Here is a 24647-nt window from a genome sequence, read left to right on the forward strand (position 1 = left end):
CCGTCGGCCCACGGCCGCCCCAGGGGCCCTGGGAGGGCGGGAAGGGAGACACTGCCAGACCTCAGAGCTTGGCACCAAGAGCCAGTTATCAGCCAGATAATGTACTCAACCAATGGCGAGAAACCCGACCATGAACTTATTGGGAACTGGTCACAGAAAAGAGAAGGACTCTTTGTCCTGAGTGTGTGAGGCTGTGATGGTAGGAGCCGCAGGGCTGTGACTCACACGATGCCACAAGGTTCCTTCCAAAAACAACTGGGGATGCTGTGTGGGGAAAGGGCTGATGGCACAGTAGGAGGTAACGGGCTCAAAACTGACCTCCTTTTTAGGGGTGAGGAAAAGACTGTCACCTCATCTTGTGGCTTCAGAGCCCAGAAGAGATTGTGGAGCAGCGGTTAGAGACTTACGGAGGAATTCTGATATTTTTAACTCTTCGGCACTTTGCTTTTCTTGAGCAATTCCCACACCACCCCTTTTTAAAGATTTATTAGATTCAGGGGCTACTTTATAATATCCTTGGAGCCCAAATTAGACTTTAAGCACATAACATATCTGAGCTTGAGGAGTTTAACTTCTTCAACAAAGGAGCAAAGAGATTTGGTGAAATGACCCCCATGGTCCCTAATGCTGATGGACCCACCGAAGTTAGCCTGTCACCAGAAGCAAAGGGATACTATTTTTAAGATATGAGGATCTTTTCCACATTTCTGTTCAAAGCAGTAACTTTGCAGCTTCATCTATTGAAGGCCTCATCTCCACCTGCTTTTCCTACCCTGGATTCACAGGGCTTGTGGTGCCCTCTCCCTGCCTCCACTCACCTTCCAACAAGTGCTGGAGTTTGATTCACACCAAACAGAAATAGCCAAAATTTGTAAGAACTCTATTGGGCAGCTCTTCTGTATCAATGACTGTACAGGCTCCAAGGGCCAGAAATAATGAAGATACAGCACCTATCTCAGCGAGCTGACAGCCTTGAAGGGGGATGAGGCTGGAAAACAAATGACAACACAGTGTGATAAGTTCACTGCAGACCAGGGAGAGCGACAACTTTGAGAAAGGGTGATTGCTTTTAAACGGAAAGGAAAAGAGCTTGGGAAATACTTCCAGAAGAAACTGACATCTAACTTAGGTGAGTTTTCTTTTTTTTTAGGTGGGGTCTCACTGCGTTGCACAGGCTGCAGTGCAGTGGCTATTCAGAGGCATGGTCATAGCTCACTGCAGCCCTGAATTCCTGCACTCAAGCGATCCTCCTCCCTCAGCCTCCTGAGTGGCTGCAACTACAGGTGCATGCCACCATGCCTGACTCTCTAACATAGGTTTCAAAGGAAGCATAGGAGTTCCGAGTGGAAAAGAGACCAAGGGAGAGGCCCGTGCCAGTCCCGAAGGTGAGGGGAGGTCTGAGGGCCTCAGGATTGCTGGAACTTCCAGTGGAAGGGCACGTTGAGGGGACGCAAGTGAGATATAAGCGTTGGGTAGTTAAGAAAGGCTATTGAAATTTTCCAGACAAGAAATGTTAAGGCGCAGAACACAGTGCTCACAGAGAGGGAAAGGAGGAGGTGGATTAGAAATGAAATTTTGGAAATGAAATTATTTGCTGCCTGAGTGGCTACGCAGGAGGAGCAGGGGGACAGAGTCAATCTGGATGAGTCTTGGACTCAGGCATAAAGTGTCAGCAGTCTTGGGAGGATCCACATCCTCACGGGAACCAGCTCCTTCAGCTAAAGGGAAAAGGTGCTTGGTGCTTCAGCCGGCCCAGAGCGTGCCCTCCATGGACACAAAGAAGCCAAGTTCTTGTTGCTAAAGGTGTTCAACAGAGAAATGTTGGAGGGCCAATTAAAGGCAAAGCCCACCACTTTATAACCACATTTTAGGCATATTAAACATTCTAGAATGTAATCATCAGACTTCTAAACTGAGCCATTTGTGTTATCCAAGAAAGTAAATCAGTGACTTATGTTTGCAGCAATATAATGAACATTATAATGGACCCCTGAAAATGCAGAGTGAATGGTAGGGAATTTGCAAGAAAGGTAGAGAAACGCTCTACCACTGGAGACAAGGTGGAGAAGCAGGTTGACATCCAAGCTGGGGAACATCATGTTGACCGAGCATTGTGTATACACAGGGCGTGTGTGCATCTGCGTGTGTGTGCATGTGTGTATATGTGCATTCATGTGTGTGTGTATGGGAGGTGGGCCGGGACAGGGGAGTTGGAATGGAGACCAACCTGATAAAGCTGACACTCTGGAAGGGTTAGACTCCCAGGAAGAAAGTTAAGAAGGGAGAAGGATAACATCTGCACAAAGGCAAACACAAAGCAACATCCTTTGTCAGCAACATCCTTAGGCACCTGGAAGAAGCAGACACACAACTTCCAGGAATAATGTCCCTGAACCTGGGCTTCTGATGATTCCCACCAATATGACCATCAATTAGAATGCGTGCACACACACAATTCCAAATAAATCATCAAGACAATCATTAGGAAAAATAACAGGACCAGATAGACCAAGACTTCAGGTGTTGGCGTCATCAGATACGGATGATACATGTTAAAAGAAATAAAAGGACGGAAAACCATGAGAACGGAACAAGAATGATAAGATGGAATTGAAAAGGAGGCAGATAGAACTTACAGAAAAAATTTTTTAAACTTAGAATTTAATATTGTTTAAAACGTTTTAGGTCCCCACATAAAAATAGATGGCCTGGGTAGCAAACCTAAGCCAAGGGCACCTTATGAGCTCCTTACAAGGGGCAAATTACTGCCAGCCACGAGCCCCATGAGGTTCCAGGTTCTGCATGGGTGGAAGAAGGAAACTCCAGGCAGCAGCAGACAGCTCTGGGAACAGCAGAATACCACACAGCTCAAGGTTATTCTCCATCTTTTGCTCTGTATTACCAGGAAGCCCAGCAGGGCCAACTGGACGAAAGCGCTTGGGTTTTGCCCAATGCAACTGCATATAATCGAGAGCAAGGGACCCACAGCTGGAAGGGCCCAAGAGTCTGGAGCTCTCTATCTCCCATGAACTCTCAAAACTGACCCATCTGAGTGCCTGTCTGGGCCAGGGCCCTACCCCGAGGAGAAATTCCTGGGAGTAGAATCAAAATCAATCAAGACAGGCATGACAGAGACAAGAGAAAAAGAAGGTCCACACCAGGCCAACAAATCCCTCTGTTATGAACCAGATAGTAAACATCGTAGGCTTTGAAGTCCAGACGGTCTTGCTGCTACTACTCGGCCCTGCGGTTATAAGGTAAAAGCAGCCACACATGACATGTAAATGAATGGGCATGGCTGTGTGCCAAAAAAACTTTATTTATGAACACTGAAGTTTGCATTGTACACAATTTTCACGTGTGACAAAATAGTATTCTTTGTTTGTTTGTTTCAACCATTTAAAAATGTAAAAAGCATTTTTAATGCACAGGCTATACAAAACTGGTGGTGGGCCAGAGTTTGATTTCTGTCTCCTGGTGTTGATGAAAGAGGCTTTGAGAAAAAGATGCAGGAAAACTCAAGACAGGATGCCATGCTGCTTTTGGACATTACCAAAAACAGCAGAAGAGGGAGCCCCGCAAAGGTAAAAGAGCACTCCTACACCCAGCCACATCCTAAAGGCTCAGGCAAATGAATTTCCCATAAAAATAAGCAACAGAAAATATCCAAGTCAAATCCCATACAAAACTATTATAAGAAAAAGGTCCTAAGAAGCAGAATAACAGCCCAACAGACAATAAGAGCAGACACAAAGATGTGGCCGTCATGGGGCTCAGAAGGCCCAAAGTGCAGCCTCAGAAGCCAAGTTTCCCCCTGACCTTCCCTTGCCCTCCTGTCTCTCACCCCTCATGCTCCCCTGAGGGAAGCTATAGAAACTAGAATTCTTCCTCTCCCGAGGTGAGTCATAAAAACCAGAACCCCTTTGCCTCAAGGCCAGCCATAAAGCCTAAAAATATGACTCTAGCCTCCCCCTGCTTTTCTGTGTAACAGCTGGCAATAAAGAAATTAAGACCCTCATTGTAGAGGGACCCTACCCTATGCCCAGGAGGAGGGAATGTGGCACAGAGAGGCTGAGAAAGATCTGAACGCAGAGGCCTTGCTGAGTTTCCCCACACCATCTATTACATTCGATCAGGACCTTTCTGTCCAGTCTTACATTTCGACATGGCTGGCTGTGCTTCATCAAATCTAAGTATAGAAATGCACAGTTCACCCTGTATCTTTGGGTCTTCATTCTGAAGGTTCCCACATCACATCAAACTATGATGAAATAAATGTGTTATACTTTTCTCATGTTAATCTGTCTTTTGTTATAGGGGCACTGGTATGACCTTTATGATGGAGAAGAAAGTGATTACCCCCTTTCTGCCTCTGCAGCCACAAAACAGATCAAAACCTATTTCAGAACAAGCTAACAGACTCTAAGAAAATTATGTAAGACATGAAAGTATGTGAATTGTTACAGCAATCAGAAAAGAATTAAAAAATTTAAAAATGCATTTTAGGAGCAAAGACTAAACAACAAATAAACACAACATGTAATGCCCTAAGAAAAACAGAGGGTGAAAATGAGGAAAGTTTTCTTGTGTGTTTGTTTGTCTGTTTTGGAGACAGAGTCCACTCTGTTGCCCAGGCTGGAGTGCAGAGGCACAACCTCAACTCTCTGCAACCTCCACCTCCTGGGCTCAACCAATTCTCCTGCTTCAGCCTCCCGAGTAGCTGGGATTACAGGCATGCACCACCACGCCTGGCTAATTTTTTTTTCTATTTTTAGTTGATATGGGATTTCACCATGTTGGCCAGGCTGGTCTTGAATTCATGATCTCAAGTGCTCTGCCCACCTCGGTGTCCCAAAGTGCTGGGATTATAGGCGTGAGCCACTGTATGCAGCTGATAATGAGGAAAGTTTTAAAAGTAAAAAAGAAGTGAAAAAAAAATATGTCAGAAAAAGTGGAACATATTGAAGACAGGCAAAGGAGATAGAACATAGGAGGTCTCGAGGAAGATACCAATGCAAAGAAGAAGACTGAATACTAAAAACGACAAGAACTATACCACATTTTTAACACTGAATTTAAAAAAGGATTTGAAGCTACATATTGAAAAATTATACCACACACTCGAAAATATTGACCCCAAATGGTAAAATTACCAAACTTAAAAAAAAAAAAGAAAAAAAATCCTTTGAACATTTTATTAGTTACCTAGGGCTGGCATAACAAAATACACAGCCTGGGTGGCTTAAACAAGATAAATTTGTTTGCTCACAGTTCTGAAGGCTGGAAGTCCAAGATCAACGTGTTCGCAGGGATGATTTCTTCTATGGCCTCTCTCCTTGGCTGCAAAGGGCCATCTCATCCTGTCCTCATATGGCCTTTCCTGTGCACCTGCATTCCTGGTGTCTCTTCCTTTTCTTTTAAGGACACCAATCATATTATATTACCAGCCCCTCTTATGGCCTTAATTACCTCCTTAAAAGCTCTGTCTCCACATACAGTCACACTAGGGATTAGAGCTTCAACTTATAAATTTGGGTAGGATGCAATTCAGTCTACAACAGATATCCCAAACAAGTGTGTAAGGTATAAGGAAAAAAAATTAATTATCATCACGCTTGTCGACAGCAATGCTTTATGCTATGAGAAAATGAAATAGCATATTATTTATTTAACATACAATATTTATATACAAGATAAATCATACAGAATACAAATATACAGTAATGCAAATATATACAAATAAATAATACAAATATCATATGTTATTATATGCTATTACAATATACAATATTAAAATAACATATAATAATTAACATACTCAAGGAAAGAATATATGAAACAAGAATTTTATATCTAATTAATAAAAGACAAACTTTTATCAACATGCCAGAACTCAGGGACTATTATTGCTGAGTCTTTCCTGAGAAATCTAGTCGACATCAAGCTTCAGACAATCAAAATGGAGAGAGAGATAAGTGACTTATGCAATGGTAGTAAGTAAATAGGTGGTACGCCTAGGCAACATAGGAAGATCTCATGGAAAGAAGGAAGAAGGGAGGAAGGGAGGGAGGAAGGGAGGGAGGGAGGGAGGGAGGGAAAGAGAGAGAGAAAGAAAGAAAAAAAGAAAGAGAAAGAAAGAAAAAGAAAGAAAGAAGAGAGAGAAGGAAGGAAAGGAAAGGAGAGGAGAGATAAACTCCCAAATTTTTAAATGGTCAAAGATAAAAAACATTTTATGAAAACATAATCTGCTAATTAGAGGCTGCAGTGTGCTATGATGGCACCACTGTGCTACAGCCTTGGCAACAGAGCAAGACCCTGTCTCTGAAAAAAATTTTAAAAAATAACACATTAGACACAGCTCAAAAGAGAATTTGTAAACTGGAAATTATATCCAAAGACATTGCTCAGGATGCGTAACAGAAAGACAAATTAAAAATACGCAAGAGAAGTTAAGAAAATGAAAAATAAAGTCCAACATATATTCATTTTAAGTTTCAGAATTAAATAGTAGAGTAACAGCAAGACAGCAGTATTTAAAGAATATTTAATAGACTAAGAAATAATGGCCAAGAATTTTTCAGAGTTCAGGAAGCAATATAATATATCAAGCAAGAGAAATAAATTAAATTCATACATGATGAAATACATAGATGAAATTCATAAATAGATTAAATTCATACATAGATAAAATAGTGAAAAAACAGATTATCTACAAAAGAATGTCAATAAGACTGACAGGAGTCTTTTTAATAACAATGGAACATGGAAGAAAGTGAAATACCTTCAATGTGCTAGAAAATAATTATAGATTTAAAAATCACAAATCCAGTGAAACTACCAAAAATGAGGTAGAATAAAGGCACTTTGAGATAAACAGAAATTGAGACTGTTTGCCACCAAACTTAAAGGCACATTTAAATGATGTACTTCAGGAAGAATGAGACGCTCCCAGAAAGAAAGTCTGAAATGCAATGACGTTTGGCAGCTAAACAAAATGGTAAACATATGACTAATCTAAATACATATTAAGCAGATACTGATAATTACACAATCTGTGAGGTTAAAAACAGAGATTGATTCAAAATATTGTATCCCAGTAGCACACAAGCTAGAAGCAGTGATCAACGGAGGAAAACCATTCTAAGACAAGGTCTCCAACCCCTGGGCCACCAACGGATATGTTAGGAACTGGGCTGCACAGCAAGAGTTAGGAGCCGTGGGCAGGCAAATGAGCGAAACTTCATCTGTATTTACAGCTACTCCCCACTGCTCACATTACCACCTGAGCTCCACCTCCCATCAGATCAGCGGTGGCATTAGATTCTCATAGGAGTGTGAACCCTATTGTGAACTGTGCATGCAAGGGATCTAGGTTGCATGCTCCTTATGAGAATCTAATGCCTGCTGATCTGTCACTGTCTCCCATCACCCCCAGATAGGACCATCCAGTTGCAGGAAAACAAGCTCAGGACACCCACTGATTCTATATGATGGTGAGTTGTATAATTATTTCATTATATATTACAATGTAATAATAATAGAAATGAAGTGCCCAATAAATGTAATGTGCTGGAATCATCCTGAAACCATCCCCCTGCACCCTGGTCCATGGAAAAACTGGTCCCTGGCGCCAAAAAGGCTGGGGACCACTGTCCTAAAATCTTTGTGTTATTCAGAAGGATGGTAAATAGTCCTTCACTGTAGACTGTTAAGTATATATAAACAATTTCCAAGATAATCATTAAAAGAAAAGAAGTATAATACACATCTCCCAAAGCTGTAAAGAAAAATAAATGGAATACAAAAGCAAATGAAAAATTGTAGCTGACACTGTCCTTTGAGCAAACAGAGGTTTAGAATTAGTCAACCAATAAGCCTCTTGAGATTTTCCATGAGAGCTTAGGATGGTATTTGACTGTTTAGAAGAGGCACGCGAGTGGCTGTCTTTTTGATAGACAAAGAGGACAATTAAACGGAAGGAACAGTTCCTTAGGCATTCCTAGTTGGAGCTGTAATTTATGAACATTTGATACATCCCCGATTATTCAAATATTTTGTATTAATTTTTAAATCTGCACCCAATTTAAAAGTTCCATGGGTAGCTTCAGCAGGGAAAATGGACTTTTGATGGTTACATCCTTCTCTCCACCACCCCATCTCCTGCCCCCGAATCCTCCACTGCCCCCCTCGCTGTCTGAATGATGCTTATGGGAGCACCTGACGGCCAGGCAGGGCAGTGCTCCTGTGTCCAGGACGGGGGCTGCTAGTGGAGACTGCTTAGACATTTTAACAGTGAGAAAAGATATTTTATGTTTGGAATTTAACAGAGATTTTGGTTGATAGCATGAGGGCTCCCTTTAGCCCTCCTGATCCTCTAATTCAACGAGAAAATTTCCCTCACCATTTCTCCCCAGTCACAGTTTCTTTGTATTTTTCCAAAATTTTAACTGAGTTATCGGTTGTCTTCTTCAGTTTTACATTGTAATTTTGGCAGATAATTTCTTTGGCAGATAATCCAGGAGATAATAACTCCTGGACCAGCGGATTTTACCAAGAGGTTCTCATTTCTTTGGTTCTAGAGAACAGCCGCAAAATGTCAAATCCTCTAGTCTTTCTGACCAGCTGGATGCCATAGTTGTTGACAGACTGCTGCCTAGAAGTAAAAGAATTCAAAAGAAATCACTCATTTCTGCATCTCAACAGTTACAAAACACCAACAGCCCCCAAATTACAGGGTGTTATATAAGTCAATGAACCAAGCATTTGGGATTCTACAGAAACACTGTCTCAGCGGGTACTGGCTTCCTGGCCTGACCATTATATAACTATTATCCATAGCATAATTGAGGTGCTGTATATTTGAAATAAATGATAAAAAAATGCTGTAGATTATCCGTTTTTCTTAGCCATTTTTTCCAATAAGACATAGCCCACAGGGCCCTGGATAATTAACCTAGGCCTCCTCCATTTTTTTGCCAGGCCATTTAGACTTTCTCCTAAACTGACTACTGGCCTGAGGGAGGGTGTGGAGATGGGAGGAGCTGGTCCCATTGGGTGGACACTGTGTCGAGTTGGGAGGAGGGTCTGTGGCCTCCCCACAAGAAAGGCACCTTCTCTCTGCAGCTCCACCCACACCCTTTAGAGGGAGCAAGAAAAGGAAGCAGTCAGGCAATAACTGAACCCCACTGGCCTGCAGGGCAGCCAGTCAGTGGGCAGACATAGGGGCCATAGTGGGCCAGGGCCCCCCATTCTTAGGGGCAGACATAGGGGCCATAGTTGGCTGGGCAGGGGGTCGGGGGTGGAGGGTGGTGCAGGGTGGAGGGAGAAAAGGCAATTCCCACAGGATGACCTGCAGATCCTCCAAGCATCTGAAGATTGGGAGGGACCGAACATTTCACCCAGGTCAATCATTCTTGCCTCCCCACCCAGAGTTCAAACTTCTGATAAAATATTCAGTTTTAGCTCAAATACTTCCAATGTCCTGGCTGCTCCCATTCGGGGGACCACTGGGATGGCAGAGCTTGAGAGGATTAAGACTTGGGGGATTAAGAAATGGAGCCAGGTTGCAGTGGCCCTAGGAAGAAAAGAGAGCAGAGGGAGTGGATGTGGGAGGAATCAGGGCTTCTGCAGTAGAAAAGGAAGTGGATTAGGAAAGTGTTCCAGAATATGGGTGTTCCCAATGCCCGAGGAACAATGGGTAGGTAGAGACACAGGCCTCAGGATCCCAGGTCGGCAGTGTGGCTGCCAGGATGCCCTCGTGTTTTCCAGCCTGGAATATGGGTAGCCCAAGGCCTCTTTCTAGTTTCCTCCACACCCCTGCAGAGGCACAGTGAGGTTCATGTGGCCAAGCGCTCCAAGAAGCAGTGCAGCTATGACTTTACAGGGGAGGTGATGCCAGCAAAGGCATGACACACTCCATGGGGGCAAAGGTTGCCAGGACAACCTCTGCAAGGACAACCTCTCCCACAGCCAGGGTCTGAAGGGGATAAAAGAAGCTCTCTGAGGGCTAAGAGTGATGTGCCTGGGAAAAGAAGTGTGGTGTATGCTAGGCCAGTGCCCCCGAACCCCCAGCACTGGGGCTACTGTGGTACATGGGAAGTCCACCCGCCAACTTGGCTGCAAGATGCCCAACCCTTTTCAGCTCCCCCAACCACTGAGCCACTGCCTCAGAAAGAGCTTCAGGTCTTTTGAGTGCACCCAGGCGAGTGGGGAAGACAAAGGGTAAATGAGTCCCTTCTTCCAATGAGACCCAGAAAAGTAGCAAGGGGTCTGTTAGTCCTAGAATGGCAGAGGTGGGATGGGATCTGAGGTCCTGCATCCTCAGCTCTCTATCAGTGTTTGTCAGAGATACAGGGACATCCCCTGTGCCTGCAACTCAATGAGGCACCATATAAATAATACAAAGGGCAGGGAGAGGTTGAAGATGCAAGAAAACACTTAAGTTCTTCTCTTTCTCTCCTCTCTTCATTGGAAGAAATATAAGATTTGGATCACAAAGACTGGAACAGACTTAAAGGGAGAAAGGACAGGACAGATTAAGTAGGGGTGAAATTTTAAGGCAATATGAGAATAAAAAAGAAACGTAAACATTCAGATAAGTAATAGGCAGCTCAGACAAGAGTGAAAAAGTGAAGAGGGGAAAATATTTGAAGAAGTAGTTCAGATCAGTTTCCCAGAATGAAAAGACTGACCTCAGATTTAAAGGACTCGTAGAGCACCACAAAAGAGAATAAGGAAAACCTCACCTACACGTACTAAACTGAAATGTAAGAGCATGAAAAAAACAGAGAAATTCTAAAAGCCCACAGAAAGAAAGAAAGAAAGAGGCTATATGAAAGAACAAGAATCAGCTTGATATCATCTTTGTTAACAGCAACAATGGATGCAAGATAACTGGAATCTTATTTTCGACATACTGATGGAAAAGAACTTAAAAATGTAGAATTTTATATCCAGCCAAACTATCATTCAAATAAGATGAGATGATGAATTTCCTCAGGCATACAAGTGCTTTCAAGATTTTGTAGAAAAGGTCACATTGAAAATAGTTTTGAAAAACTAACTAAAAAGTGAAGGAAATTCAAGAGATATTCCAAGAAATTCTTGAAGGAAAAATGACTTTATACCTTAGTAGAGTTGTTATCTTTACAAATTGATAAGACTAACAAGAAAAAATACATCCTTACAACTAAGAATTAAAAGTTAGTTAATGCCAATATTAATGGGTTGGCAGAAGATGGCAAGAACAAAAGATATGAGAGCATAGTAAAGTTCTTGTCTTATTAGAAGATATTTGTAGATATCAAACTGGTTTAAAAGAAGCTCAAACCTAAGACCTGTAATTAGAAAACTTCTAGAAGAAAACAGGGGAAACACTCCAGGATGTTGGTCTAGGCAAAGAGTTTATGGTTAAGACCTCAAAAGCATAAGCAACAAAATCAAAAATAGACAAATGGGACTATATTAAACTAAAAAGCTTAGGTACTTCAAAGAAAACAACAAAGTGAAGAGACAACCTGTCTCTGATCATTTGAATATTGGCCAAACTTCACCTGATGAGGGGCTAACACCCAGAATATACAAGGAACTCAACTCAACAACAACAAAAATAATTCCATTAAAAACTGGGCCAAGAATCTGAATAGACACTTCTGAAAAGAAGACACACGAATAGCCAACAGGTACATGAAAACATGCTCAGCATCACTAATCATCAGGGAAATGCAAATCAAACCCACAATGAGATATCATCTCATCCAAGTTAAAATGGCTATTATAAAAAAGTAGAGATGCTGGCAAAAATATGGAGAAAAGGGAACCCTGTACAGAAAACAGTATAGAGATGTCCCAAAAAAACTAAAAATAGAACTACCAAACGATCCAGCATTCCCACTACTGGATATTTATGCAAAGGAAAAGAAATCAGTATATCAAAGTACTGCCATGTTTACTGCTGTGCTTTCCACAGTAGCAAAGATATAGAACTAAACTAAGTGTCCACCAATGGATGAATGAATAAAGAAAATGTGGTCTGCATACATAATAACATACCATTTGGCCATAAAAAAGAATAGAATTTTGTCATTTGCAATAACATGAATGGAACTGGAAGTCATTAAGTGAAAAAAGGCAGGCACAGAAAGATAAGTGTCGCATGATCTCACTCAAATGCAGCAGCTACAAATGTGGACCTCATGAAGCTAAAGAGTAGAATGATGGATACCAAAGGCTGGGAAGGACGTATGTGTTGCAGGGTGGGGTTGGGGGTGGGGGATGATGAGAGGAAAGTCAATGAGTACAAACATACAATTATGTAGAAAGAGTAAGTTCTAATGTTTAATGGCATAGTAGGGTGACTATAGTCAACAATGTATTGTATATTTCAAAATAGCTAGAAAAGGCTTTGAAATGGTTCCATCACACATGGTTACTCCTCGAAGTGATGGATATCCTAACCTAACCTGATCATTATCTACTCTATGCATGTACCATAATATCCCATGTGCCCCACAAATACGTACAAATCTTATATATCAATAAAAAAGAAAAATTAAAAGAAAAGAAATAGACTGAGTGGGGCTGGTGGCCCTCCCACCTACACTGGCTTCAGCACTGACTTGACCCAGTGGTATTACCTGCAAAGAGGTGCCCACGCAAAACTGCAAAGCCAGAGTGGTTTCCCAGTCCCTCTCCCTGGCCCTTTATGAGACTCCTCCTTCCATCTCCCTTGTGTGGCCCCATAGGGCTTGCTGGGGTCAGCACCCTGCTCAGGCCAGCCTGTAATGTCCAGAGTTTGTTCCCAAATCAGAACTAGCATTCCTTGACCATCTTCATCAATGATCTGAGGAAAGTTAAGTCACACTGAGGTTAAAAAGTCAACTGCATTTTAAGAGATTAGTAGCACAGATGAAAGGGACTAACAGGCCCCTTTCTGTGTGGGGAAGCTTTCCTTAATTACCTCATTCAATCCGCAGAACCACTATTAGAGAAGAAGAAATGCCTGCTATTAAGGGTTAAGTAACTTGCCCAAGGTCACCCACGTCTAAGTAGCAGAGGGGAGATTCAAATTCCATCTCTCTGGTTCCAAAGCCTATGTTCTTTCCAAATAAATTCCCAAAAGACAGAATGAGTGAGAGGACTCTCTTTTTCAGGATGGAAAGGCTCTTCATCTGTCAGTGACTTCCGCTTCACAATATTTTGCGTCCCGTAGCCCCCTACTTCGTCCGTAGTGAAACCAAGGCATGGGATTAGTGTTGCAGCCACATACCACTCTCTGGCACCCCAGGGAAATCTCTGTAACAGAGTCTTTACTTGGAAGAGGGGAACGTGGGTTGGCACAAGAAAAGCACAATCGCAAATCACGAATGTGCCAGCCCCAAGTGCTTGCTACATCTTGACTGGTACACAATTTCCTTTCTGGAGTGCCCACTTGAGATGCTTGCCAGCAGGTACCAATGAAACCAGGATAACTCACAACAGCTTCTGAGGGAAAATGGGAGGATTTAAATCAGTGTAGTACATTTAGTTGTTCCCATATGAATGTTCTTAAACCAAAATGCTAACTCTAAGATTATTTAGAATTAACTAATAATATATACTACCTTTGCCAAAAGTAACTTACCCCCAAGATAACTTATCCAATGGGGGTAAAAATAACAAACGAATTAAATATAATGGCTGCATGCTTTTCATGAAATGAATTAGATTCTCAAAGTATAGGCAAAAAAATATAGTCATGGATAGACGAGAAAATTTAAAATGATGTAAAAAATTAAATATTCCATCTAAATCTAATTATGTTAATACAATAAAACTAAGTTGAAGGGATTTAGTGAGGGAAGTGGAGTTCAGAATCTCACATAAGTTCACAGTTAAAACTCTAAGAAATATGTCACATTATTTACTGTTTTCAAATTTAATATATCTTCAGCTAACCATGATATTCAGAGACAGGAATGTCATAGTTTTCTGAATTCCCTGGTTAATATTGTAACCAGAAACCCTGCTTGAGTTCAATCCACCTTTTTGAAAATCTTTCAAAAATTTTTCTTTGTTTTCTTGTCCTAGTAAATACACTGTACTCACCAGAAATCTTTATTCCAGAACCTCAGAATTATTGTACCATGTTGTTTGTAGAAAGTCTATGAGATAGGGCTAAATTTGTAGCAACCCTGGAACACAGCCTGTTGCTTTTTAGATAAATGTCTGATAGGAATACACTGAGTTGTGAGTAAACTCTTCCAAGTAGAAATGTGGGAAGTAAAACCAAGGGATCTATTTGAAGTTTCAGTGAGTCCCATCTCAGTAAATCAAGGCCCCCTCAAGTTTTCCAATTCGATTAAATACACATTGTCTAAGCACCTACTTGACATGGAGGCTTAAAAAAATAGGTATAATCCTTGCACGTGAGCAGCTCAGAAACCAGGATAAACAAATAGCTGTCATTGAGTCTGTCACATAGAAGTATATCAAGTGCAGTCAGGATAAGTATTAAATTGGATGAAGGATTAAGAAGGAAGAATGGGAAAGAGCATTAGGGCAGATGGCACTTGGATTGGTCTAGAAAACGTGTAAGAGATTTCTGGACAGAGCAAAGGGGGAGAGGCCATTCTGGAAGAAGGTAATAACACTGATAAAGACATCTAGATAGAGGTATCTAGATGGCACTTACAGAAGTAGTAATTTACCCAACCATGTAGACCAGAGTGTGTGGTGTGAGAAGCAGACAGGATGGCTGTGATGCCAGAAATGGGGACTGGAATGAGTTAGTGAAAAGCTGGATATTTCATGCTAATACAGCTTGTCTGAATTTAGTGAGCACTGGCAAGCTATCAATAGCTTTCATGCCCGAGAATGGGGAGAGTCAATTTGTGTTTGGGAAGGTCATTCTGGTAAGAGTGTGGTAGATGGCTTGGGTGGGGCAAGACTGGAGACCAAAAGATGTATTGGGTTATGGCAAGTGGCTGTTTAGAGATTATGAGCATCTGGACTAGGGCTGCGGCAGCAAGGATGGAAGGGAAGAGAGAGATCAGGGCACCTTTTTGAAGTAAGATCAAAAGGACTTACCGATTGCCTGATTTAGATGGCAGGGAGTCCAAGTGGGTAGATGGATAGTTTTACTTCCATAAAATAAGGAAGACAGAGGATGAAGAGGCTTAGAAATGAGATTATTAATTTGAATTTGCACTAGATAAATCTGAGGTGCCCAGAGCGTGTTTAAATGGAGATCTCTAGGAGGGAGTTCAATCATGAATCCCAAAAAGAGCATCTTAATGCCACACTTAATGACTCAGAGAAGTTTAATGGCCATGTAATACTAAATAATACAAATATTCAACATATGCAATATGCAAATAAACACTGAGAGACCACAAAACCCATTTGGCACTCCCAACTGAGAAGTTTGAAGATGTACGTGGTGCTTTGTTTGTGATCCAGGCCTGATTCCCCACTATCTCAAGGCTCTACTGAACCCCTCTTAACTTTACCCGAGCAGAACCCCATGAAACAACTGCCTTTGCTGCTTTTGCTGGCTCCAATTGATCTCCCAGTTGAGGCTCAAACTTGTTGATTCCTTAACAAGAAAATCATGGTGACCCAGTTATGTGTTCTGTTTAGTGGATTTCATCTTTCTCTGTCTATTTTCAGGTGCTGACTATGTGCAGCTCCCCAGTCAGTTCTTCAAGGCCTGCAGATGCCCAGCCTCTAACCAACTCTGCTTCTTTCTACAGCGCATTCTGTATTCACACCCATTAGACTCCATGGGCTATGGAAGTCATTCCCCTGTGCGTGTGTGCTGAGTTCAATCTCAGCTCCTTGCCTGGGTACAGCCCTCACTACCAATGACCATGCAGATGTACTAGATTGTTTGCTGGCTTAAAAAAAAAAATAGCAGCTTTCTTATCTGAGCATACAAAGGAGTTTTATCGTAAACATTCAAGCACCGTGTATAATCAAATTACCCATAAAAAGATAGGGAGGGTCTTTTCATTATTGCTGTGGTCCTGCTGTTAAATCGCTTTGAAATGAGGTGCAGTGAACGATGGGATTCCTTCGAGGATTCTGCCATAGCGGCCCCGGGATAGAGCACGTTGGAAAATTGATCCAGTGTAAAGCAAGATTTGTTAGGAGATGGAGACTAGTGAAGCCAAGGACAGAAGATCACTGGCTGAATCACTTGTTTTCTTGTCATGACTCCAATTCAGTGGATTTCAATCCTGGCTGCAGATCAGAGTCACCTGGGCAGGTTTTGTTTTTCCCCAAAATACTGTGCCTGGGCTCACAGTCCCAGAAATTCAGTAGGACCCTCCCCATCCCCCATCCATGTGTACTTTTAGAAGAGGCATCATTCTGGTGCCTTTTACACCTGACACATGAAACACTAGTGACCATAAACATGCTTTCATTTAGGCAACGTGTGAATACCCAGAGTATACAGGAAGGAGCGGGGAATGCGGCCTGGATGGCATGGGGTGGACTCTAGGAAGCAATGACACCTTTCAGAGACAACCCTCACTACTCGAGGGTTTCCTGGGTGTTTCTGAAGCTGCAACTGGGATCAGGCCTTAGTTCATGTGCCTCAAGTACAATGTAGTCCTTCCCCCACCTCTCTCCCCATCTAAAAAATATCACCAAATCTACTCAGAGACACAAGTCCACCTGTAGGAGAAGAGGTGGAGGCACATATTCCCAATCCTGGGCTAACAAGGCCTAGGGGTCACTGTAGTGGGTCGGGAGCTGTGAATGTTGCAGGGAGGATTTAACCGGAATAACAAGGGGTGTTGTGTCCCTAGGGCTCTGTCCCTCTTTCCCCATCCAAAGTTCTGTCATGGAAATGATGAATGAAGGCATGGGACCTTTGCTGTCAAGCCGTCTTAGCTGGGGACAGTGACTCCCAGGGCCACCATCAGTGAGCATGCCTGGGACCCAGGGGAAGGGAAGCTGCTCTAGGACCTCGGCTCTGAGGACACACAGATCCTGCTCCCAGTGGTCCCAAGCCTCCAGTTGTGATCCCTATCTGTTGACAATCTGGACTCAGCCCCACTGTTACAAAGAACCATCCCCTGGGCAGGCACGGTGATTCATGCCTATAATCCCAGTGCTGTGGGAGGCCAAGGTGGATGGATCTTTTCAGGCCCGGAGTTCAAGACAAGCCTGGGCAACATAATGAGACCCTATCTTGAAAAAGAGAGAGAGAGAGAAAGTGAAAGAGAACAAAGGAAGGAAGGGACGGAGGGAGGAAGAAAGACAGAAAGAAAGACAGATAGGAGGGAGGGAGAGAGGGAAGGAAGGAAGGAAGGAGGGAGGGAGGGAGGGAGAGAGGGAAGGAAGGAAGGAAGGAGGGAGGGAGGGAGGAAGGAAGGAAGGAAGGAAGGAAGGAAGGAAGGAAGGAAAGAAGGTTGGTTTAAAAAGAAAAAGAAAACACAACCATCCTCTCCAACCAGCCCCACTGAAGTGGATCCTGCCCATCCAAACAGGATGAGGCAAAGTCCAGCAGACTTGAGCCGATAAGGTTCAAGGACAAGGCACAGGACGTAGAGTCATATTCCACAACATCCTCTCCAAAGCCTCTGGGCTAAAAGTTTTACATCTTGATATCATCCAACGATGTAAAACACCACTTCAACTTCCATGAAGGCCAAGTTGACTCTGTGAGCTGCTATTTCTGCAAATTTCTCAAGTGGTTTCCTCGGGCCCTTTAAGGGAGCCAACAGCTTCTGCATGAGACCAGTCATCTCTTCATTAACCAGTTTAGATTCCCTTAAAGCCACTCTTAGGTTTTCTTTTGGGTTGTGTGCTTGTAGATATCATCTAGAGGTTTGGGAAACTGGTTCTAAGTGGGACCATATAGTCCTCAGAGTTCGGTCCAGTCGAGAGAAGGGGCATAAGGGGAGGGAGTGAAGCCATTTAGAGTTAGAGAGGCCTTAGAGAGTACTTGGCCCAGTCTTTCATTTCAGAACAGAGGAAACAGAGACTTAAAGAGGTTAAGTGTTTGTTCAGAATCACTTCAAATGTTGATAGCAAAAACAGGGCGAGGACTTCAGGAGCCTAACTGTCCACCCCAAGTTCCTTCTGGTTAATGCGGCACATGTGGTTTCCAAGGAAATCAGTCAACTCTTCAGCAGGAGGAGGCGAGGCTGCAGAGCAGAGGTTACTTACGGTGGTGCAGGCAGACACACCATCGTGGCCACAGGAAACGAGTGCTTCAAATGGGGCTGCTACAGGAACAAATAGCAAGGACACTGGCGTCAGAGGTGGCGTAGGACAGCATGTCACAAAGTGACAAATGGATGGCCCACGCAGCCCGCGTTTTGGGAGCTGAGAAGAAGCAATCACTGGGCTTAGGTGGATGGAAGTTATCAGGTAAGTTTCGTCCTCCAGTTTGCAGGCATGAATGTGTCATGCTCACTTAGAGGTTTACGCTGCATTTTTACGTGATACTACCCAGGCAGCAGAATGGAATTTAATAAAAAATGAGAATCGTAGTTGAAAAGGCTTCAGAGTATTTTGCATTTACAATTGCATTTCAGAAGTCTGATTTTTCTAACCTGATTGACACAAAAGCATATTGAGTTCTGTGAGTTCTATTTACAGATTTGCATTAATGATGATTAATAATGTCTGCTATTTAAGTCAGATTTTGTGTAAGGAGTATGCAAAGAATGAGCTGTTGAGGCAGCAACCTGATTTTGTTGTTTTTTTCACCACTGCATTTATCCATTCTTTAATTTTTTTTTTAATTATTTGAGACAAGGTCTCACTCTGTTGCACAGGCTGGAGTGCAGTGACACGATCACAATTCACTGCAGTCTCAACCTCCCAGGCTTGAGCAATCCGCCTGCCTCAGCCTCCAGAGTAGCTGGAACTACAGGCATGCACCACTATACCCACCTAATTTTTTTTTATTTTCTTTTAGAGATGAGGTCTCATTATGTTGTCCAGGATGACATTTATCCATTCTTAATCATCTCTTCATTTTTATACAAAGCCAAAGTTCACATTATTACTGGGGCAAAATTTCCCCCCAGTTTTCCCCCTAGTTAGCAATCAGTCCTTCCCTTCCTTCCTTCCTTCCCTCCCGTCCCTCCCTTCCTTCCTTCTTTCCCCCCAGTTAGAAGTCCTTCCTTTCTTCCCTTCCCTCCCTCCCTCCCGTCCCTCCCTTCCCTCCTTCTTTCCCCCCAGTTAGAAGTCCTTCCTTCCTACCCTTCCCTCCCTCCCTTCCTTCCCTCCCTCCCTTCCTTCCTTCTTTCCCCCCAGTTAGAAGTCCTTCCTTCCTTCCTTCCTCTCCCTCCTTCTCTCTTTCTTCCTTTCTTTCACTCCTCTCCCCTCCCCTCCCCTTTCCTGTCCTTTTTTCTTTTTTTCTCTTTCCTTTTCTTTCTGAGATGGAGTCTTGCTGTGTCGCCTAGGCTGGAGTGCAGTGGCGTGATCTCAGCTCACTGCAACCCCCGCCTCCCAGGTTCCAACGATTCTCCTGCCTCAGCCTCTGGAGTACCTGGGATTGCAGGCACGTGCCACCATGCCCAGCTTATTTTTGTATTATTAGTAGAGACGGGGTTTCACCATGTTGGCCAGGCTGGTCTTGAACTCCTGACCTCAGGTGATCCACCTGCCTCAGCCTCCCAAAGTGCTGGGATTACAGGCGTGAGTCACCGCGCCCAGCAGAAGAATTTCATTTTAACATGCAAACACCTCAACAAAGCCAACTGAGCCTACTTCTAAAAAGCCTCCAGACATATCCCTTCCTCTCCAGTCTTGCTGGCCACTGACCTCTCCCAAATTCTCATATGCACTTAACATTCATTTTACAGCAACAACCTCCTAACTGGTCTTTTTGCCTCCAGAAAAAAAAAAAAAAAACATATTCAGCAACTAAAACAATTAAATTCCTAAAGGCCAATAGATTATATATTCTACACTGCATAGGTGTAAATTCTGTGCCATATATTCAAGGCCAGAGCAGAGTTTGAGGTTATAGCCTGGCAGAAATTTCAGAAATGGGTATTCCCCCAAGGAAGGTTTAAATTCTGCGTTTGAAGTCCAGTAATTTTACCTGGCCTTCTTTTTATTCAGATGACCAACCAGCACTGGAGATTTACTAGCCCGTGTGCAAATTTTTGTCAATCCCACTTGTCATTAGAAATCCCACATGCTACAGAGAGAATGCGATTTGCAGATAACTCGAAAACATAAGAAACCCAAACACAAATCACTTAATCGGAGAAAACATTACTCTCTTAAATTTAAACAGTTTTTTTTAAAAGCCAGATGTACTTATTGTCATTTCCAGAATTACTCTTATAAGTATCTGGTTATCATAACCACAGAAAGACAGTTTATTAGTTTTAACTGCTGGATAAAAGCATGTAGCATTTTCAAGATTTCTGGTTTCACCCTTTTAACCCAAAGAGTAACTATAAATAGATGGCAAAGTCTGGGATTTCCACAGCTAAGTGCTGCTATAAATAGTTTTAAACATTTTCCCACTTCATGCTTTCAAAAAGAACATTCTCCACTTCCTTTCTTGGATAACCTCTGGGAATAAAGTGAATCACATTCAGAATTTTATTAAGGGAGTTTAACAAAACTATTTTAATGAACCTTTTAGCAACTCTAAACATATCTCAGACGCTGAAAAAACTGAGAATAAAATGATTTAACAAATGTGTTAATTTAAATAGATATTTAAATTGAAATAGATATTTTTGACAAATGCATTTAGAAATACATTTCTAACCACCGAAGTGGTGACTAAACGAAAGAAACATATTTCTTTCAACATTCCTTCCATGATAACATCTAGAAAAAGGGGTGTGAATTCATGCCTGTTGTCAGGTATCCAGGCTGACTTCTTTCTCAGGGAATATTCATAAGACAGAGACACAAAGAGATACAAAGATCCTCAGTTCTTTGTGAAATCCCTGCCATGGATCGCTTTCCCAAGGGACATGCCTGTGGCCGTCAAAGCAAAGCGAGCACTGTGCAGGACCGTCCCATCTCTCCACAGCAGAAAGATTCCTAATGCCTGCCTTCTAGCAACCTCTGCTGGTAGTTATTTCTGACTGGGAAGAAAGTAGAATTAGCCAGTCTTCCCCATGGCAGGAAAATTAAGCAAAGAAAAAACAGCCACGAAAACAGGTCATATCAGTGAAACACATGTTTCTGTTTTATATTTTAATGAAAAGGGACAATGGAAGGATTATAAATGATTTTTAAAATATTCGTGTTTTCTAAAAAAAAATAGCTATTTTTGAGCAGTTTTAGGTTTAAATATTGCACAAAAGGTATAGAGCGTTCTCATATATCCTGTCACCCTCAATTTTCCCTATTTTTAATATCTTGCAATAGTGTAGTACATTTGTTACAATTGATGAGCTAATATTATTATTATTAATGAAACTCCACAGTTTACATTAGGGCTCACTCTTATGTTGTACATCCTATGGGTTTTGACAAATGTATAATGATAGGTATCCGCCATTATAATATCAACAGGAATGATAGTTTCACTGCCCTAGAAATTCCCTGTGCTCCATCCATGCACCATCTTCACCACAACCCCTGGCAACCACTGATCCTTTTACTGTCTCCATAGTATTCCAGAATGTCACATATCTGGAATTCTACAGTAGCAGCCTTTTTAGATTGTCTTCCTTTATTCAGTAAAATGCATTTAAGTGTTTATCCATGTCTATACATAGCTTGATAGCTCATTGATTTTTAGCACTGAATAATGCCCATTGTCTGGATGCACCGGAGTTTCTTTACCTGTCACCTCTACTCAAGGATATCTTGGTTGTTTCCAAGTTTTGGCAATTATGAATAAGGCTACTATAAAGATCTGTGTGCAGGTTTTTAGGTTGACATGAGTTTTCAGCCCTTTGGGGTAAATGCCAAGGAGTATTATTTCTGGATCGTATGGTGAGAGTAGGTTTAGTTTTGTAAGAAACTGCCAAGCTGTCTTCCAAAGCGTCTGTGCCATTTTGCATTCCCACCAGCAATGACTGACAGTTCCTGTTGCTCCACATCCTCGCCAGCCTTTGGTGTTGTCAGTGTTCTGGTGTTAATTGCTTTAGTTTTTCAATATGTTTTTGTCTCCTAGGTATGTAGTGGTATCTCACGGCTGTTTTACTTTGCATTTCTCTCATGATATATGTTGTTGAGCATCTTTTCATGTGTTTATTGCCATCTGTATATTTTCTTTGGTGAGGTGTTAAGATCTTTTGTCCTTTCCTTAATGGTTTGCCTTCCTATTATTGAGTTTTAAGTGTTTTGTATATATTTTGGGTATAAGTTTTTATCTTATATATACTTTGCAAACATAGACTTTTTTCCCCTAAATCCTGAATATAGTGGATATCCTAAAAAACAATCCTTCTTCTTTGTTTCCTTCATTCATTTAGTCATTCAGTCGGCATTTGTTATGTAACCTACTACAAATACTAGGTGCCAAGAGTACAGGATAAAAGGATGGTCCTGACACTTAAGGAGCTCATCCTACAGTACGGAATGTTAAGAAAGTATAGATATGCTGCAAGAAGTATCACATAAACCTTGAGGACACTATGCTAAGTGAAGTAAGCCAGTCACAAAAAGACAAATACTGTATGATTCCACTCATGTAAGGAGCCTAGAGTAGTCAAATTCATAGACAGAAAGTAGAGCGGGGGTTATTAGGGGCTGTGGAGAGGTGGGAGTCAGGGGTTGTTGTTTAGTGGGTGCAGGGTATCAGTTTTGCAAGATGAAGGAGGTTGATGGTACAACAACATCAATGTGCTTAGTGCTACTGAACCGTATACTTAAAATTGGTTATGATAGTAAATTTTAATTTATATGTATTTTGCCACAAAAATACATTAATTTAAAAACTAACTGTTATGCAGAAGTGTGGATAAATGGCACAGGAAAACAGGTACAGGAGAGATTAAACTTCTACAAGATGTATATAATCACATAGATCACTATACTAAATACGGCAAGAGCTTCAGGTCAATTTGTCTTTTATTCTTTAAAAGGTTTTCTGGGGCCGGGCACCGTGGCTCATGCCTGTTATCCCAGCACTTTGGGAGGCTAAGGCGGGTGGATCACGAGGTCAGGAGTTCGAGATCAGCCTGGCCAACATGGTGAAACCCCATCTCTACTAAAAATACAAAAATTAGCTGGGCGTGGAGGCGTGTGCCTGTAATCCCAGCTACTTGGCAGGCTGACGCAGGAGAATCGCTTGAACCCGGGAGGCGGAGTTTGCAGTGAGCCGAGATCGTGCCATTGCATTCCAGCCTGGGTGACAGGGTGAGGCTCCGTCTCAAAATAAATAAATAAATAAAAATATAAATAAATAAATAAATGGTTTTTTGATATAAGTGCAAAAGATGAGACAAAGGGAATGGCACGCTAGAACCTATACTAGGGACGGAAGTGGAATAAAAAGCAAAATGTATGCTTTGAAGATCTAAAATCTGAAAATTGAGCAAGCTTTCTTGCATCCAACATGACAGCAGAGGATCAGTTGAACAAATCCGTGTCCAAAAGAAAAAAAGACAAGCCATTCGCTTAGCGGAGGAAAACTTATCCTAATTAAAAACAAAATCCCAACCTTGAAAGAGCCACAGATCTTATCGTGATCTTACTACCGTTATACCAACATTCATGTCATTAAAAGCAATTATCTGGAGCAATTATCCAACTATATACATATATATGGGCAAGAACTAGAAGAAACCAGAGAATTAAGAAAATAGTTTGACACTGATATATTCATCTAATATTATACTTAGTGTCTTCTGTGTGCCAAGCACAGTCCTGGGTGTCAGGGACACAGCAGTGAACAAAACAGATAAAACTCCTTGCCCTCATGTGGTTTATATGCTAATGTGGAAGACAGAAGATAAACTACATAGATAAGGGTGGTAGGTTGTCTTCAAAGATGACTGCCAACAATTCCTCTAATTGCTGCACACACTTGCCACTCTCCCCATCAAGAGGTGGAATCTATTTCCCTTTCATTTGTATCTGGTTGGCCCTGAGACTTGCTCCAACCTATAGGATATGATGCAGTGCACACATGCCTTTTACAGGACCAGCTCCTGAGAGACCTCACAGCTTCCACACTCCCTCACTTGAAGCCTAGAGTCATCAGGTAAGAAGTTTGGCTGTCCTGCTGGAGGGAAGAGACTCAGCCAGCCCCCAGCTGAAGTGCAGATGTCTGTGTGAAGCCAGGTGGGTGTCCCAGTCCCAGCTGAGCTTCCAGATGAAGGCAACAGCGTTGTGACTCCCACTGGCACCATGTCCAGCAGAACGACCATCCAGCTGAGCCCAGTCAAATCACAGAATCTTGAGAAACCATAAGTTGTTGTTTTAAGCCCCTAATGCAGCTAACTGAAATAATAGGCTAAATGTAGTGTAGGTTCATTACTGATAACCCAGGGCAGTGCTAGAGCCTGTGAGTATTGCCTCACAAGAGGCAATAAATTTTCAGGAGTTCTGTGAGCCATTATTAAGAATTACATTATATAAGCTTATAATTACAAACATTTAAACAAATAATATTCAAATATGTGTAACTATTTTACTACTATCTCTTCTTGAGGTTATTTGCATGCACTGGGTCTGCACAGTGGAAATACCATGTCACGGTACGCTACTGTGCATCT

General features: G+C 42.1%; 1 long non-coding RNA gene across 1 annotated transcript in view, besides 4 other annotated features; it reads right to left on the bottom strand.

The window, feature by feature from the left end:
* MCPH1-AS1 (MCPH1 antisense RNA 1) overlaps positions 1–24647 on the bottom strand; it is a 92607-nt gene that overhangs the window by 45985 nt on the left and 21975 nt on the right. The gene's annotated exons all lie outside the window — the stretch shown is intronic.
* Positions 3238–3287: a silencer, noted in NCBI's record as "silent region_18882". NCBI's record gives its function as "represses an Ori minimal core promoter by ATAC-STARR-seq in GM12878 lymphoblastoid cells {active_cell/tissue: GM12878}" and the evidence as "EXISTENCE:reporter gene assay evidence [ECO:0000049][PMID:35858748]".
* Positions 3648–3727: an enhancer, noted in NCBI's record as "active region_26948". NCBI's record gives its function as "activates an Ori minimal core promoter by ATAC-STARR-seq in GM12878 lymphoblastoid cells {active_cell/tissue: GM12878}" and the evidence as "EXISTENCE:reporter gene assay evidence [ECO:0000049][PMID:35858748]".
* Positions 3978–4077: an enhancer, noted in NCBI's record as "active region_26949". NCBI's record gives its function as "activates an Ori minimal core promoter by ATAC-STARR-seq in GM12878 lymphoblastoid cells {active_cell/tissue: GM12878}" and the evidence as "EXISTENCE:reporter gene assay evidence [ECO:0000049][PMID:35858748]".
* Positions 4218–4267: an enhancer, noted in NCBI's record as "active region_26950". NCBI's record gives its function as "activates an Ori minimal core promoter by ATAC-STARR-seq in GM12878 lymphoblastoid cells {active_cell/tissue: GM12878}" and the evidence as "EXISTENCE:reporter gene assay evidence [ECO:0000049][PMID:35858748]".

The sequence above is a fragment of the Homo sapiens genome, chromosome 8, assembly GCF_000001405.40.
Source record: "Homo sapiens chromosome 8, GRCh38.p14 Primary Assembly".
Taxonomy (NCBI): Eukaryota; Metazoa; Chordata; class Mammalia; order Primates; family Hominidae; genus Homo; species Homo sapiens.